The sequence below is a fragment of the Homo sapiens genome, chromosome 1 (assembly GCF_000001405.40).
Source record: "Homo sapiens chromosome 1, GRCh38.p14 Primary Assembly".
In the NCBI taxonomy this organism is placed as follows: Eukaryota; Metazoa; Chordata; class Mammalia; order Primates; family Hominidae; genus Homo; species Homo sapiens.
Window position 1 is genome coordinate 182797272 of NC_000001.11, and position 17290 is coordinate 182814561.

Below are 17290 nucleotides of genomic sequence, written 5' to 3' on the forward strand. Positions count from 1 at the left end.
CTTGACTCTCTTTTGTCTAAGCCTTGCTACCCATCATATGGCCCATGGACCAGTTGCTCCACCACCATGGGAACTTGGTAGAAATGCACAAGCTCGGGCTGTATCATACTACAGATCAGTCCTGCATTTTAACAGTGTCCCAGATGATTCTTTAGCGCATTAAAGTCTGAGATGAGCCGGTCTAAAGATTAAAGCCCAGACTCCCTGGGATGGCATAGGAAGTCCTCACAGTTTACCTTTCCTGCTTCATTTCTTTGTCACCATACCTCTTCTGCCTTTCATGCCTTCACTCATTCTCTTTCCTCTGCCTTTTTCTACCACCATCTTCTTCTTTCTTGCTCCACTTGAACACTTCTACTCATCTATCAAAACCATCCTTAGAAATTCTTCCCCAATTCTCTTAAAAGGAGTTAGATGACCCTTCTATAGCACCCTGTCCATACTCTTCCCCTGTGATCCCATAGCACCCTTTTTGTATTGCATCAGAATTATTTGTTTATTATTACAATAACTTTTTGTTACTTGTCTATGTCTTCCAGCAGGCTTTGAGCTGCTTAGCCCTGTTCAATAGATATTGAATGCCAATAATATACAAGAACTGAGAAATTATCTTATTTATCTTATATCTTAAGCATGTGGCATAGTTGTGGTAGCTTTTGTTATTTTATGAGTGAATATACTGCAGGAATTACTAGTGCTGATAGTCGAGAAAAAGGGAAGGAAGCAAACACTGATTGATGCTATGTCAGTCATCATGCAGGCATTTTCATTTACATGTTCCCACTTAATCTTGACAACAGCTATGTGAGGGAGCCATAGGTATCTCTGTCCTGGCAGTTGAAGAAACGGAGATCCTAAAGGCTAGCCCAGCTGCCCCAAGCCACACAGCTAGAAAGGTAGGATTTCTCTACCTATCCAACCCTTGCCTTTTTATACACTAGTAAGTCTAATGAAAGACTTGCTTTTTTTTTTTTTTTTTTTGAGACAAAGTCTCGCAGCAGGCGGGAGTGCAGTGGCACAATCTCGACTCACTGCAACATCCCCCTCCCAAGCTCAAGTGATTCTCCTGCCTCAGCCTCCCGGGTAGCTGGGATTAGAGGTATGCACCACCCTGCCCGGCTAATTTTTGTGTTTGTAGTAGAGACGGGGTTTCATCATGTTGGCCAGGCTGGTCTCAAACTCCTGACCTCAAGTGATCCGCCCGTCTCGGCCTCCCAAGGTGCTGGGATTACAGGCATGAGCAGCTGCGCCAGCCAAGACTTGCTTTCCTTATTTGTTCTAAGAACTCACTTTTTCTTTGGGCAGGCTCACAGTCATTAGACCAGAAAGTCCATTTCAGATCTAAAATGTCGAGAAAAAAGTTGTGTTTTTTCCCTCAAATGTTCTTGGCATCACCCTGGGGAATCTTCACAATACCCTCTGGTAAAAACAAAGCTGTTACCCCAGTGAGGAAAGGCCTGGCCTGCTAGAGTCAGACTGGCATAGATTATTGTCTTTTTAACAGTCTTTGGGAGACGAGGGGACCCAGACTCCCAGAACAGAACATTTTCCACCTCCAACAGGGTGGGCAGGTTAGTCCCTGCCTGCCTCCCTGCTGAAAGAATTTTAAAATAACCAGTGGCTGTTTTGCCAAGAGTGCATATAACTGCTATCTGATTGAATGCTGAGAGATATGTATAAAAGGCAAAAGAAAATGGAAAATCAGATTTTCTGATATGCATGCCACATCATGTCAGGTATGAAAATAGCCTGTCCTGTGGATTCTGTCTTCTCAGATGAAGTGAAAGTCTTTCATGGTGGTTCGTGCACCAGGAGAGGAAACAAACAGCAATAGGGATTTCTCCCTGAAAAGCCACTTAGGAAAAATTCTATTACCCTTTTACCGTAAGAGAAGAGTTGTAGAGTCTACCTGCAGTTTCACAATCCACCCACTCTGGACCTCAATTTGTGGCAAAAAGAACAGAAGACTTTCTTCCGCTTATGTAGTTTGGGCAAACTAAATGTCTAAAAACAGACAATTAGAAAAAGGAATTAGAACAGACAATTAGAAAAAGTAATTATACTCATCCATAAAATAGAATGTTGTTTAGCCGGTATAGTAATGGACCATCTAAAAATGTGGGAAGATGTTAAAATTAGAATGCTGAATGAAAAGTATAAAACTGTGTCTAATACGGCCATATTTATACAAGAAAATATAATGTGTATTTGTGAATAGAAAAATATCAAACTAAGAGGAATCATCTCCAGAGATATCCTGAGTGGGTTTTCTTTTTTTATTGTATGTACTTTCTAAAGTAAACTATATAGCTCCTGTAATTAAAAAAAAAAGTTAAATAAAATTAGTGGGGCACAGTGGCACACATCTGTAGTCCCAGTTACTTGGGAGGCTGAAGTGGGAGGATTACTTGAATTCAGGAGTTTGAGGCCAGCCTAGACAACATAGCAAGACCCTGTCTCCAAAAAAAAAAAAAAAAAAAAAGCCCCAAGGCATGAATCTAAACCCAACGCAAAGAATCTGAATCCCCAGGAATTGAAATTAAGACATTAAACTGGGTTTAAATATAAAAATGACTACAGCAAGCATGGAATTTGGTTCTGGGTCACTCTCCCCTGATGTGCCCAGTTGTTAGATGTGTTCTTGGGGCTCATGAAAGAAGAGAAGGTGCTGTGCAGCCTATTCAAGTGAATTGACTTCTGTCAACTCACTTCTGTGAGCACTGAGCTCCAAATGCCCAGTGGGTGGGCAGAAGAATAATCCAATCTCATTGTTTCCATTCTCTCTAGTGACTTCCTGGTAACCGATCATGGTTAATGGCCTCTGGTGATGAAAATAGACCTAGGTACCATCAGAGTAGGGTGGGAAAACAAGTGAAGGGACAGGCTGGGCATGATGGCTCACACCTGTAATTCCAGCACTTTGGGAGGCCGAGGCAGGCAGATTGCTTGAGCCCAGGAGTTCGAGACCAGCCTGGGCAACCTGGTAAAACCCTGTCTCTACAAAAAATACAAAAATTAGCTGGGCGTTGTGGCACACACCTGTAGTCCTAGCTACTGGGGAGGCAGAGGCCAGAGGATCACTTGAGCCTGGGAGATTGAGGCTGTAGTGAGCCGTGATTGTGCCACTGTATTCCAGCCTGGGTGACAGAGCAAGACCCTGTCTCAAAAAAAAAAAAAAAAAAAAAAAAACGGACAGAATCCTCAAGGAGAATTATTTTCGCCCTAACCCTGCCTTTTGGGTACCTATGTAACAAATGTGGTAGCAGCCCTGGATGATTTCACCCCCACTTGTGCCTGGAGCTGCTGAGCATCCCAGCCCAAGGCTGCAAACTTGCACCTGCAGAGTCAGGCAGGGATCTGAAATGCCTGAGGGACCTGGGGGCATCCAGTCCTCTAAAGTAGGGCCTACTGCTGCTTTTTCTAATTTCCAGCTGTATGGAAATGTAGCCCTGGCTTTTTTTTTTTTTTTTTTTTTTGAGACCGAGTCTCGCTCTGTCACCCAGGCTGGAGTGCAGTGGTGCTATCTTGGCTCACTGCAACCTCCACCTCCCGGGTTCAAGCAATCCTGCCTCAGCATCCCTATTACAGGCTGAGATTACAAGTGCCCACCAATACGCCTGGCTCATTTTTGCATTTTTAGTAGAGACGGGATTTCACCATGTTGGCCAGCCTGGTCTCAAACTCTTGACCTCAAGTGACCCACCCACCTCAGCCTCCCAAAGTGCTGAGATTACAGGCATGAGCCACCATGCCCAGCAGCCCTGACATTGTTAGATTTTTCTGGCTTTTCAAATACTCATTTTTTTAAAGAAAAAATACAATATCGTCAAAGTCAAACATATTTAGAGTTAGCCCCTTTTCAACCTAGATCTCTCTAAAGAGGTCTGGTAGTTCCAAAAGGACTTAAGTCCAAGAACATTTTCTGGATGATGACCACTGCCCCCAAAATTCTGCCATTAGTGTCATTCTTGTAGGTTAGGGGCATTTTATAAGAAGCAGCAACCTACTTTCTCCTTTCTTGAAGGGACAGATAATGCAAAACCCATTAGACCTCTAACCCTGAGTGAAATTGTCAGCTGAATAGCCTGCCTCCCAGCAAGGCCTGAGGGAGAGAGGTGAGGGTAGGTCGAAGCACTATCCACTGAGGCCATCAAAACTGTGAAGTTCATGGAGAAAAAAGGAGCTTCTAGTTTCACATACTGGCCTAGACCTGCCTAAGGGTGCAGCCAACTCCCTAAAAAGAGGATGATACTAGAATAGGACAGAGCAAACAGTATCTCTCAAGAATGTTGGAGGGGTCGGGCTCAGTGGCTCACACTTGTAATCGCAACACTTTGGGAGGCTAAGGCAGGAGGATCGCTTGACCCCAGGAGTTCGAGACCAGTCTGGGCAACATAGTGAGGTCTCATCTCTACCCAAAATTTTCAAGTTAGCTGCACCTGTGGTCCTAGCTACTTGGGAGGCTGAGGCAAGAGAATCACTTGAGCCCAGGAGGTCAAGGCTTGCAGTGAGCCACGATTACACCACTGCACTCCAGCCTGGGCGACAGAGTGAGACCTTGTCTCCAAAAAAACAAAAAAATGTTGGAGGGAAGGAGGACATAGGGTTTTGTCCTATTTATCCAATGTCTTCTTTCCAGCCTCCCTAGCTGTCATTTATCAGTCCTCTTCTGAGCCCCCATACAATTACTTTTTGCCTCAGTCATAACCTTCATTATATTTTGCTATTTTAATCACGTATACTATCTTCTTTAATTAATGTAATAGTGAAATTTCAAAATATTATGCAAGCGTGGTGCTAACCTGCTTGTAAAGGCAGAGCTTGTGGTGATTTCATCATTGTAAGTTCCCACATCACCACTCCTTTGCCCAGCCTTTGCTGAACACCTGGGCTGTTCCAGGTGCAGACAGAGGTCAGGAGGGAGCAGTGTTAGGATATGGAGGCATGTGCCATAATGAGGGAGTTCGCTCCCCTTATAGGCTTTATAATTGCATTAACACACCTTTTCCCAAGTGGCAGGCTCAGGCCTGCTATCTTTTCTCTGAGCTTGTTATAGGCATGATTGCCTGTGCATTCTTTGCATTTAATAGCTTTCCTTTTAAACTCAGAGTCAGCTGTTCTCTATCTTTCCTCATTTTGTTCTTATGCCTTTTGACATGTACATTTTGATGCCTTTGTTTCCTAGATGCATCAGATTTTTTTTTTTGTTTTTGTTGTTTAAGGAATTACCATAGGTAAAGGTGAAAAGAATGTTAATAAGGCCAAACTTCAATTAGGATTCTCTGGCCCTACAGACAAAAGTGCGGTGGCAGCCAGCTAGCACTCTGTGTTCTTGGCAGGGTAACCATGGGCACAGTGTAACCATTTAATGCAGGCTTGCTGCACCATTTTCCTTTGAATTTCACTCTTCATTGCCCATCATTCCCCTCCTGCATTTTGATTGAGGACAGGTTGCCTAATACAACTTGTGAGGAGTCAGTTTTTAGATTTTGAAATCAATATGATTTTAAGAGATCTTAACCTTAAGCATCAGATCCTTACAAGGTTAGTGTGCCTCAAATTGCCAAGTGCATGCAGATCACACGGCGATCTTGTTAAAATTCAGATTCTAACTGGGCCGGACTGTGTGGGGCTTGGGATTCCATGTGTCTAATAAAGTCCCCCAGATGCTGATGCTGCTGTTCCGCCTTTGAGAGGCAAAGTGATGACAAAGTTCCCTTCTAACTGCTAACCTTGTTCAATGTAAAACCAGCAAATACAGATGGGTTTAAGACTCCATGTTTGTCCCAAATATTAAGTGCTAAAATTCTTATAATATTAAGATTGACTTTTCCTATCCTGTGAGCCTAAGAAATGAATGTTTCCATCCTCTGTAATGACTTCCTAATAATTGATCATGGATAATGGCCTCCAGCGATGAAAATAGACCTAAGTACCCTAAGAGTAGGGTGGGAAAACGCAAGAAGGGACAGGCCAGGCATGATGGCTCATACTTGTAATCCCAGTACTTGGGATCAAATGGCAAATGTTAAGTTCTCATTTAACCATGTCTGCAACCATCAATCTTCCCCTAAAAGGGCAAAAGATGTGTGGCCATATGGACTTTAAAGAGAGAGCGTTGGGCAAAAGATAGTTCGTTAACTACTTTTTAAATACTGCTTGTCATGAGGTGTAAATATAAAGCCTCTGTTGATAACTAACAGTGTTTTGCTCACAGAAGTGAGGCATACATGGCTGAGTGAAGAAATCACCAGATTCAGGGGGGGAAAAAAACCCCAGGCATTATTTACAGCAGGCTAAGAATTTCACAAATTGAGTGGATTTTTAATAACTATTAGCAAGAGGGAGCAGTTTATATACCTGAGCATTTGTTGAATAATAATCTGAAAAAGACTAAATATGCCTTTTTTTCCACATGTCTTCTAGAGAAATCAACTTTTCAGTAATTGGTCAGTATGTGGATTATCTTGTGAAAGAACAGGGAGTGAAGAACATTTTTGGTAAGTCAACTCTGGGGATGTCGCTGCATGTCTCCAGCTCAGTCTTTAGAAGGTATATCTTACCTGGTTACCAGCCAAGAGGTCACACAGTCATGGTGTCACAGGTTATGATGGAGCCTGGCTAAGCTAACTAAAATTTGTGAATTTGTAGGCCCACCAATCTTAGACCTACAAAGCACCTCAAGAGATTACCTCATTTGATAGTGTGCCAACACTTAAGGTATTATTTTTTATCCCCATTTGGAGATGAAAATATATGACTCAGATATACTCTAGGTTGCCCCAGGCCATTCAGCCAAGAAGTGGTAGAGTAACAACCAAACCCTCTTAAGTAACAACTAAACACTCTTCTCTCTTTTGTTTATTTATTTATTGAGATGGAGTCTTGCTCTATCTCCCCCTGGGCTGGAATGCAGTGGCACCATCAGCTCACTGCAACCTCTACCTCCCGGGTTCAAGCAATTCTCCTGCCTCAGCCTCCTGGGTAGCCGGACTATAGGCGCACACCACCACACCTGGCTAATTTTTGTATTTTTAGTAGAGACAGGGTCTTGCCATATTGGACAGGCTGGTCTCGAACTCCTGACCTCAGGTGATCTGCCTGCCCCAGCCTCCCAAAATTCTGGGATTACAGGCGTGAGCCACCGCGCCCAGCCTCTTCTCTCTCTTAAGAATGGGCTTTATTCTGTCTTCCCCTGGCCTTTCAAATTGTGAATGGAAGAAAGACTCTAAGTGTAGCACACAAAGAAATCACAGGACTAGTAGTTATCCCCTTTTATTTCATAGAAGTGAAAGTTTAAAAAATTAGATCTTGAACATTTTAAGCCTGACAGCTATACTTACCTGCGATTGAGCTGTCCCTTGCTTAGTGTTCTGGGCTCTCGGACCCTTGGATGCATTTTTATTCTGAGAACACTACACCTTGGTCCTGACCTACTGCTCTACCAACAGGAGCCCCTCCAGAGCCAGAGGTACCTGGTAATAATAATCAGAGCAGATTAAAACTTGTGTGGAAAAAGTGTCCTGGGCCACAGGTCAAAACTGAGACCTGATTACAAAACCACTCAATGTCCCTCTACAGCGCTAAGCCATAGTGGAGAAGGCAGATTCTTACTCAACAAAGGGCAGCAGATCTCCCCTGGGTATGAGGAAAAAGCAGGAATATCCCTATGACCAGAGTATACTTGAAGTCAAGACCTCAAAGAAGTGGTTAAAAATACTTTCCGACTTCCCTCCCCTGCCTCCCCAACCTCCCTTCTTCCAACCCAGTGCTGAGTGCTTAGAGATTCAGAGTGCCACCATATGCATGAGACCTCAGTAATGTATCCTACTGCCATAGGCATCTTTCTGTGATCCATTAAGAAATGATTGTAGTAGGCCGGGTGTGGTGGCTCACACCAGTAATCCCAGCACTTTGGGAGGCTGAGGCGGGCAGATCACCTGAGGTCAGGAGTTCAAGACCAGCCTGCCCAACATGGCAAAACCCCATCTCTACTAAAAATACAAAAACTTAGCTGGGCATGGTGGTGGGTCCCTGTAATCCCAGTTACTCAGGAGGCTGAGGCAGGAGAATCACTTGAACCTGGGAGGCAGAGGTTGCAGTGAGCCAAGATGGCGCCACTGCCCTCCAGCCTGGGCGACAAGAGCAAAATTCTGTCTCAAAAAAATGAAATAAAATAGAAATGATTGTAGTAGAAGGAAAAGAGGAAAGATGATGAGTTTTGGAATCACACAACTCTGGATTCAAACTTAAATTATTTTCTGTTTCAGACTTTATCTTTTTATCTGTAAATGAGAAAAATAATTTCTACTTTGCTGGGTTGTTGTGAGAGTAAGTGGATATGTAAGAGCACTTGGTATAAGAAATATTAATATCCTTTGTGCTTATTTATGAAATATTTATCTAAAAAACGAGTTGTCCTAGAGCACTACCATCATGTCAAACTGTAAATGGAGATAGTTTGAGATCTGTAGTATACAAAAGCACCCGCATGAGTAACTCCCACTTATTTGACATCCTGGTACTAGATAGTGTTGATTTCCCTGCCATTCAAGCCCAGATATAAAACTGGGTAGTGTGTTTGGAGATTGACGTAAAATGTGGGCAGTCATCTCTGTCTTTATTTAAAATATTTCCTGACTGTCCCTAATATCAAGGTCAGATTTATAATTACAAGTCACAATTAACCTTCCCACTGCCTTTGACAAGGTGAAAGTGGAAAAAAGATGGAGTCTGAAGTGAAAATGGAAACATGGCATTTTCCCCTCCTGACCATCCTCAGTGCAGTGGTTTCTGACCCTGCACTTTCAGACTCGGGGTTGGAGAAGCAGAGGTGCTCCTTGGTCCTGCTGACTTACTCTTTGTTTGAACAGTGAATGGCACAACAGGAGAAGGCCTGTCCCTGAGCGTCTCAGAGCGTCGCCAGGTTGCAGAGGAGTGGGTGACAAAAGGGAAGGACAAGTGAGTGGCTGCATGAGGATAAAAATGCCCTTTGGCAACAGCTGTATTCAGTGAGCCTCTTCCCCAGAGGATACGCCCTCCCTGCTTCCTGGTCAGAGCCGGGGCTTGAGGTCAGCTGGTGGGAAGATGAGCAGGGCCCCCGGGATCCTGGCTTCTTGGAGAAGAGCCCCCTCCCTTTCTGTGCAGAAGGGCAGCCAAACTGCTAGACACACCTGCCACCCAGAGGTTCCGCTGGGAAACTGCTTCTTACCTGTCTACAAGGCCAGTCCCCTCACAGTTACCCGTCTTTGGGCTGAAAGGTAAGAGGGGAGGGTGGTGACGGACTCTGCTGGTCACTTGGCTCTTCCACTGAGCAACTCACACCCCTTCCCTTCTTGGGATGAGCGCCTGATGCTTGTATTGGCCCACTTCTCCTGACAGGTCTCTGTGCATCCAACTCAATGTGCTCTTTTATGGTGCTTCCTCTTGCGCTGTTGGAGGACTTTCTGTAGCCCATAAACTTCCATGCAGTGATAAATTTTTGTAACACCCAATTCATGCCATGGTTGAACAAACAGGATAGTATCAGTTCCATAGCACTTCCAGTTTAACTAAGTTTGTTTTTTTGTTTTTGTTTTTGTTTTTCTTGAGACGGAGTCTTGCTCTGTCGCCCAGGCTGGAGTGCAGCGCGATCTCAGCTCGCTGCAACCTCTGCCTCCGGGGTTCAAGCAATTCCCCTGCCTCAGCCTCCCGAGTAGCTGGGACTACAGGCGCATGTCACCACACCTGGCTAATTTTTTGTATTTTTAATAGAGATGGGGTTTCACTGTGTTAGTCAGGATGGTCTTGATCTCCTGATTTCGTGATCCACCGGTCTTGGCCTCCCAAAGTGTTGGGATTACAGGTGTAAGCCACCACACCCGGCCAACTAAGTTTTATTGATTTGTCTGTTACAGTGTTATATGTTATGTACTGTGCTAGGCACCAGCAGTATAAAGTAAGGGCTCTGCCTTCAGGTTGCTGACCATCCGGTAGGGGTGTTAGATCATGAAAACTAACACCCCAACCCTTCTGATGAATGTATAAAAAAAAAGGGAGTAATTGACGTTGTCTTAGGTGGAGGTAAAAGATTGGAGGTAAGTTCCAAGTGAGCAGAGGTTGTCAGTGTGAAGCCCATGATGACCTTGGGAATCCTTAATGGCTTCAGGGCAGCTCCAGTACTCTGAAATTATGTGCCAAATTTGAGTGCATATCCACAGAAGCATTCTCTGGTGAGTCATCAGCTTTCAGTTAATTTCGTGAGATCTAGGGTCCAAAAATATTAAGGACCATGGGCAGAGTGTGAAAACAGGAGGGCTAAGGGCACACATTAAGAACAGTACTGGCCGGGCATGGTGGCTCATGCCTGTAATCCCAGCACTTTGGGAGGCCAAGGCGGGCGGATCACGAGGTCAGGAGATCGAGACCATCCTGGCTAACAGGATGAAACCCCGTCTCTACTAAAAATACAAAAAAAAAAAAAAAAAAAAATTAGCCAGGCATGGTGGCGGGCTCCTGTAGTCCCAGCTACTCAGGAGGCTGAGGCAGGAGAATGGCGTGAACCTGGGAGGTGGAGCTTGCAATGAGCCAAGATCGCGCCACTGCACTCCAGCCTGAGTGACAGAGTGAGACTCCATCTCAAAAAAAAAAAAAAAAAAAGAACAGTACCAAAAATGAGGGACAGGGAAGTAGGCAGAGACAGAAAGCCCTCAGAGGGTAGGAGGCCAGTTGGGAGTGAGTCCTGTCACTGCAGCCAGGGAAGAGAATGATTTCAGAGACTGTCAGTGTAGCAGGGGCCATAGAGCCCGACTGCCTGAGTTAGAGGCCCAGCTCTGCTTATTAGCTCTGGGAACTCAGGCACATCACCTAACTTCTGTGTGCTTCATCCCTAAAATAGAAGTAATAATCATATCTCACTTATGAGGTTGTAGTGAGGATTAGAAAAGTGCCTGGCAGGCACAGTTCACATAACACATTCACGCTAATGTAAGAATTCATTGTAACTATTTAGATGCAGTAAATGCTATGTTCATTATAACGTTTGTTATAATAACTATTAGATGCCATGAAAGTCAGCACACGAAAGACTGAGAAGACCACTAGGTTTGACACATCATAGGAAGTCACTGATGACCTCTGAAAGAGCAGGGCCAGTCAGGTTATTGTAGAGAAGCCAGACTGCAGTTGAGTTATAGAATGCAGCAGACATCTGCAAGTGGGAGCGGTGAGTGCAGCTGATCCTCACAAAAAGTTTTCTGGCAAAGGGAAGGAGAGATGGAGTCATACATTAGGAAGGAAGGAATAGGCAAGATTGAAAGAAGGGTAGTTTTGTTAAGTGGAAAAATGTTGAGCGTGTTTCTGTGCTGAAAGGACACTGCCATGGAAGAAGAGATTAAAGATACAGAAAAGACTGGTAAACCTTGGCTGGGTGCAGTGGCTCATGCCTGTAATCCCAGTACTTTGGGAGACCAAGGCAGGCAGATTGCTTAAGCCCAGGAGATCAGGACCAGCCTGGACAACATACAGAGACCCTGTCTCTATAAAAAATAAAAATAATAATTAGCCGGGCATAGTGGTATGCCCCTGTGGTCCCAGCCACTTGGGAGGCTGAGGCAGGAGGATCACTTGAGCCCGGGGTGACAGAGGTTGCAGTGAGCCAAAATCACACTACTGTAGTCCAGCCTGGGTGAAAGAGCAAAACCCTGTCTTAAAAAAAAAAAAAAAAAAAAGTGGTGAATTGATACCTTTGATGGAAGGTCTTGGATAGGGGGATTTGGCTAGGGGTTTGACATACAGATGTTCCTCCACTGATGACAGCATTACATCCTGATGGATTGATCAGAAATTCATTCAACTTACAATTTACATTGGGTTTTAAAGACATAACCCTGTCATAAGTCAGGGAGTGTAATGATGCTTTCACCCCATTTTAAGGTCAAACCATCATAAGTTGGGGACCATCCGCACAACCCAAAGTAGACGGAGTAGCTTTAGAAGACAGCTGAAGGCCTGGCACAGTGGCTCACACCTGTAATCCCAGCACTTTGGGAGGCCAAGGTAGGCAGATCACCTGAGGTCAGAAGTTTGAGACCAACCTGGCCAACCTGACAAAACCCCGTCTCTACTAAAAATACAAAAAAATAGCCGGACATGGTGGCAGGTACCTGTAATCCCAGCTAAGCAGGAGGCTAAGGCAGGAGAATCACTTGTACCCTGGAGGTGGAGGTTGCAGTGAGCTGAGATTGCACCACTGCACTCTAGCCTGGGCGACAGAGTGAGACTCCATCTTAAAAAAAAAAAAAAAAAAGTTGAGAAGCTAGGAGGAAAGCAAATGGTGATATAGCCCCACACACAGGTGGAGAGAAGGAAGGATAAGGGAGTCTGTGTGTGAAAGCTTCTTCATCTTTGGTCTCTGGGACTCTAGGACATCTGCCCAGAACAAGGAGTTGGGTAGAATTTAGAACTTGACAGGAATAGTCAAGATTTGGAGTAGCCACTCCAGAGAAATGAGTCATGACAGCCAGAAGGCTCGTTGGAGCCTCCTCCTGGATTGGGAGATTACTAGGAAATGTGTATTTTAAATTTCCAACAGTGGTAGCTGTGCCTAGCAGCCCAGGAGAAAGAGGAAGAGCAAATGGATGATTGGCTTCACCTAAACCAAGAGAAAGGGGTAGTGAAGGGAGGGGTCGTGCAATAAAACTGCTGGTGAGAGTTCAACAGGTCAGTCAGCCCTCCTTTCTCCATTCAGAAGTCTTCTATTATCCTTTAAAAATACAAACCTGATCATGTCACTTCTCAGCTAGGTCCTGTTTTACCTAAGACATAGCTAGCCAAGAACCCCTGGAGGACTCTGTGATTGGGCCTAAACAGGAATGTGGTGTCTCTGTCTCATGAGGGCATGTGTTATTCAAGGTCCTTCAGAAGATTCACTGGGAAGACTGCATTCACAGCTGAACATTATTAATCCCACTTTGAGATGACCAGTCTCACTGTGGCCTCTCTCTCCCCAGATGGGAACATGGTATACCCCCAAAAATGAACATCGGGGTATCAGAACAAATATCGCCTTTTGGCCAAATTCTGAGGAGATTTGCAAAATAGGAAATTGCTTTTTATAGTGAATTCACTTCTCACAGGACTAGTTCCTGGTTTTACTCTTTGAGGAAACTCTTTATTTTTCTCTCCAACCAAAAATATCCCAGTATCATACCTATCTTCATTTATGTGATACCACCAAATACAGCATCTAAAACAATGCTTAACCAAAATAAGTACTCATGTATTGATTAATCAATTATTGCTTTTCAAGTTCTGCTTGGTTGAACCTTAAATTCTATTCCCTAGACATTTTTTAAAATCCCTAATGATTCTTTATCTTTACTGTTTTCTGTAGTTTTGCAGCATTAAAAGGCTCTATTCTTTTTTCTCTTTTTTTCCTCCCAAACTTGTTTTTTTTTTCTTTAAGTCTCTATTCTTAAGGCTTAACAGTAATAACTGCTAATATTTATTAAGCATTTACTGTGTCATGTACCATGCTGTGTTTTACCTGCATGAACTCACATAATCCTTACAATAGCCCTGTGAGACAGGTAATGTTATTATCTGAATTATTCCAGGAAATTGAGGTGTAAAGGTGTTAAGTGCCTTTCTGAGGAGTTCACAGCTGGTTCATAACAGTCAGGATTCAAGCTCAAGACTCTAACTCTGGGATATAAGTTCTTAACAGCTATGTTGTACCACCTCTCAATTAGATTTCTTCCCTAGTGCTTGATTCACCATTGGCATCTTGATTTTTTTTAAATTTACATTTGATCTAAGTCAACAATTAGCCAGTGCCAGATATATGCAAAGCACTTTTACATAAATATGTGCAATATCATTTACTTACAAAAATCATATGTAATATCTGACACATAAATTGATTCTAAACATGATTAAACTAGGTCATTTCTTTCCATTAGAATTTATTATTTATTTTTATTTTTAATTATTTTTTGAGACATGGTCTTGCTCTGTTGCCCAGCCTGGGGTGCAGTGGTGTGATCTTGGCTCACTGCAGCTTCCACCTCCTGGGTTCAAGCTATTCTCCCATCTCAGCCCCCAAGTAGCTGGGACTACAGGCACACACCACCACACTTGGCTAATTTTTTGTATTTTGGGTAGAGACAGGGTTTTGCCATGTTGCCCAGGCTGGTCTTGAACTCCTGAGCTCACGCAATCTGCCCACCTCAGCCTCCCAAACTGCTGGGATTATAGATATGAGCCACTGCACCTAACCTATAATTGATTTTTAAATTTTGTGTGTTTTATCACAACTTAGAAGTGTTTTTTGTAAGCATGTATATAAGACGAATTTCTACAGACTCCAATTTAAGATAATGGGCTCGGACTAAATTATCTTTGTGATCCTCTGCCTCTAACTTAATGAGAGATGAATCCCATTTCTGTACACATTTAACGATTTTCAGCATATATTTCTGCTGTTGGTAACATGAAACCTCCATGATACTGTATAAACATACCACCTTCCCATTGGCTCTAAATGAAGTCATTGCAGAAATGGCTGTATTCCTACAGAAAGGAAGAAATGAATACCATTTTAACCTTGCCTTTAAATACCTCCTTTGGGGGCTGAATATTCTCTGCTGTGAAATCAGAATCATCCTAGGCACAGTCAAATCACAACCAACCTCTCAGTAACATGACAAGACTTTGATATCAATGACCTAGGTTAAAAAGATCACCATAAGCCCCTTTAAGTAGATTAAATATATTGCTATAGAACTTAATAAGTGAGATTAATAAGGCATCAGTTAACTGCTAAAATCAGCACAAACCAGGATAGTGCAGCCCTTCTGCATGCCTCTAAACTCTAAGCGATGCAGCAGTGTTTTTTCTTTTGCAGGCTGGATCAGGTGATAATTCACGTAGGAGCACTGAGCTTGAAGGAGTCACAGGAACTGGTATGTATGCAGTTCCATCTGGGAGAGACCATTCAAGGGGCCTCCATTTTTATGCCGCAGTTAAAATCAGTACTATATTTGCTATGTAGTAGATGGTGTGCCTGAAGAAATAAGGTGTGGGATCTCAGGGGCTTACTGCATAGAAGCAGGCATTGAGCCATAAAGAAAAGGTTGTAGCTCCAGGTGATGATGACTGTAGGATAGGAGATGGAAGCACCTTCCTCCAAGGAGAGTAAGGATGGATGCAGCTGTAGCTGAGTTTGCAGGTAAGGAGCAGAACTGAGCCAATTTCAGTTTTCTCTGGGAAGTAGAAGGCAGTGCCATCTGCAGGGCACAGAGGGACAAAGGATAGAGTAAAGGCTTGAAGAATGGCAAATGTGAATTCTGCATTGGAGAAAGGAGGGAGCTAAAACACAAAAGGATTGCTTGGTGGTGCTGAAGACCAACTTAAGTTGTAAGTTATAAATTTGTCATACCACCCTTCAGCACCGTTGTGGAATTTTTTTTTTCTGGGTACACTCTTTAGCCAGAATATAGGAACAAGAACAGAGACAATTGGATTGCTCCCACTTTAGAGATTAGCAGGTTAAGTGGAGCAGAGGCAAGAGAGGAAGGGGTTAAAGTTCCTGGCAGAAAAGCAGGTGGTGTGGTGATTCTGAGGCCTGGGTGAATTGGTTAAGAAAAGAAGGCACACACTTTGGGAGGCCGAGGCAGGCAGATCACGAGGTCAGGAGTTTGAGACCAGCCTGACCAATATGGTGAAACCTTGTCTCTACTAAAAATACAAAAATTAGCCAGGCATGGTGGTGGGCGCCTATAATCCCAGCTACTCAGGAGGCTGAGGCAGGAGAATTGCTTGAACCCAGGAGGCGGAGGTTGCAGTGAGCCAAGATCGTGTCACTGCACTCCAGTCTGGGCAACAGAGTGAGACTCCATCTCAAAAAAAAAAAAAAAAAGCACAAAGATGTTTAAAATTGTTTATCAGAAGGCCCTGTACCTGGACTGCTATAAATTAACCAAGTTTCCAGAACTTAGATATTCTACCTCTAAAGATTACAATGACTTTTTCTGGCCCAGCTTCTTCTTAATGGGTTTTGTTTGATTGTTTTGGCTATTTAGATTTAGAAATGGGATGTATAATATATTTGCAAAAAATTGCAACTTAGTGCTTTAGGCAAGATGCAAAGGAATATCTATCATTAGCCATAATAAGTGTGGAATCAGAATTTAGAGACTTGATTTATTCCTCTTACATTTGATTTGCTTCTCTTACAAAAGGTTTTTCAACTAAGGCAGTGTGGTGTAGGGTATATTTTTCTTTTTTCTCTCTTTTCAATTGCTGCTTTTCCAATGTATAATACAAATTTTAAAATATTATCATGTAATGACATGAATGACAGTATCATCCATTGGACTGAACACCCGAATAGTATAGAGGTAATCTTGGAATGAATAATCCTCTGGAATAGGGATAATCTCCTGGTATAGGGGTAGTCTTGCCAAAGAGATAATAACATCGGTATCTGCTTAGCCATAACTCTTTATTGGATGATGCTTGAATGGACACTGCCATCAACTCTCTTAGGTGTTTCCTCTTTCCTTGCTTTCAGCTAAGGTTAATCTACTCTTTTTCTAAACAGAGTAGTAAGCAAATGATTTAAATATGTCACATTCTGATCCTGTGTTAATGAAATTATTCCCAGTGCCTTAATTGGGCTATATCCCAGTCTTCTCCTTTTAACTATTCTAGTTTACTTCTGCAGAAAGATAATCACATCTATTAGATATAGATATTACAAGTCAAAGTCTCAGAAGGAAGGCCCTTTTCCCTTTTTAGATAGTGGGGCACGTTCTGAAACAACAAGTATCTACTGGTTCCTTGCTATGTGCCCAGCACCATGATTGACCTGGACTCAAGGGTAAGCAAGATCTGAGCCCTGCCCTGAGGGACTTACACTCTAGTTGGAGGACAGTCACCATACACAACTGCCTTAGAACCTGGTAGGTTTAGGTACTTTATTTGAAATAGATACATAGTGTTATAAGGGTCCAGCAAGAGGAAATGTTACTTTTTTCTGGAGGAATTTGAGAAAATATCAGAAACATGGTGCAGAGTATCTTCTGTGATGTATATAATCTTTTCCTTTTCAGCATGTCTCAACTGCATTCCCAATCTAATACAAATTTTACAATATGACTGTCTTGTCATTGGACAGAAAAGACAGTATCATCAATGGGCTGAACAGAACAGAAATTACATGAGCAGATATCTCGATTAACTGTTATAACTTATCAAAATGAACCACTTACGTCTCCTTAGCAAGGTTTTTTGTACTGACAAAATATGA

At 43.1% G+C, this 17290-nt stretch overlaps 1 protein-coding gene across 5 annotated transcripts in view; it reads left to right on the top strand.

The window, feature by feature from the left end:
• NPL (N-acetylneuraminate pyruvate lyase) overlaps nucleotides 1-17290 on the top strand; it is a 40612-nt gene that overhangs the window by 7499 nt on the left and 15823 nt on the right. For 4 of the 5 annotated variants that reach the window (NM_030769.3, NM_001200056.2, NM_001200052.2 and 1 more), the window contains exons 4-6: nucleotides 6427-6500; nucleotides 8874-8961; nucleotides 14885-14942. In NM_030769.3, the coding sequence (NP_110396.1) occupies nucleotides 6427-6500; nucleotides 8874-8961; nucleotides 14885-14942 (220 nt within the window). Of the gene's footprint in view, nucleotides 1-6426; nucleotides 6501-8873; nucleotides 9261-14884; nucleotides 14943-17290 lie in introns of all 5 variants that reach the window. The other variant, NM_001200050.2, reaches the window with a different exon arrangement.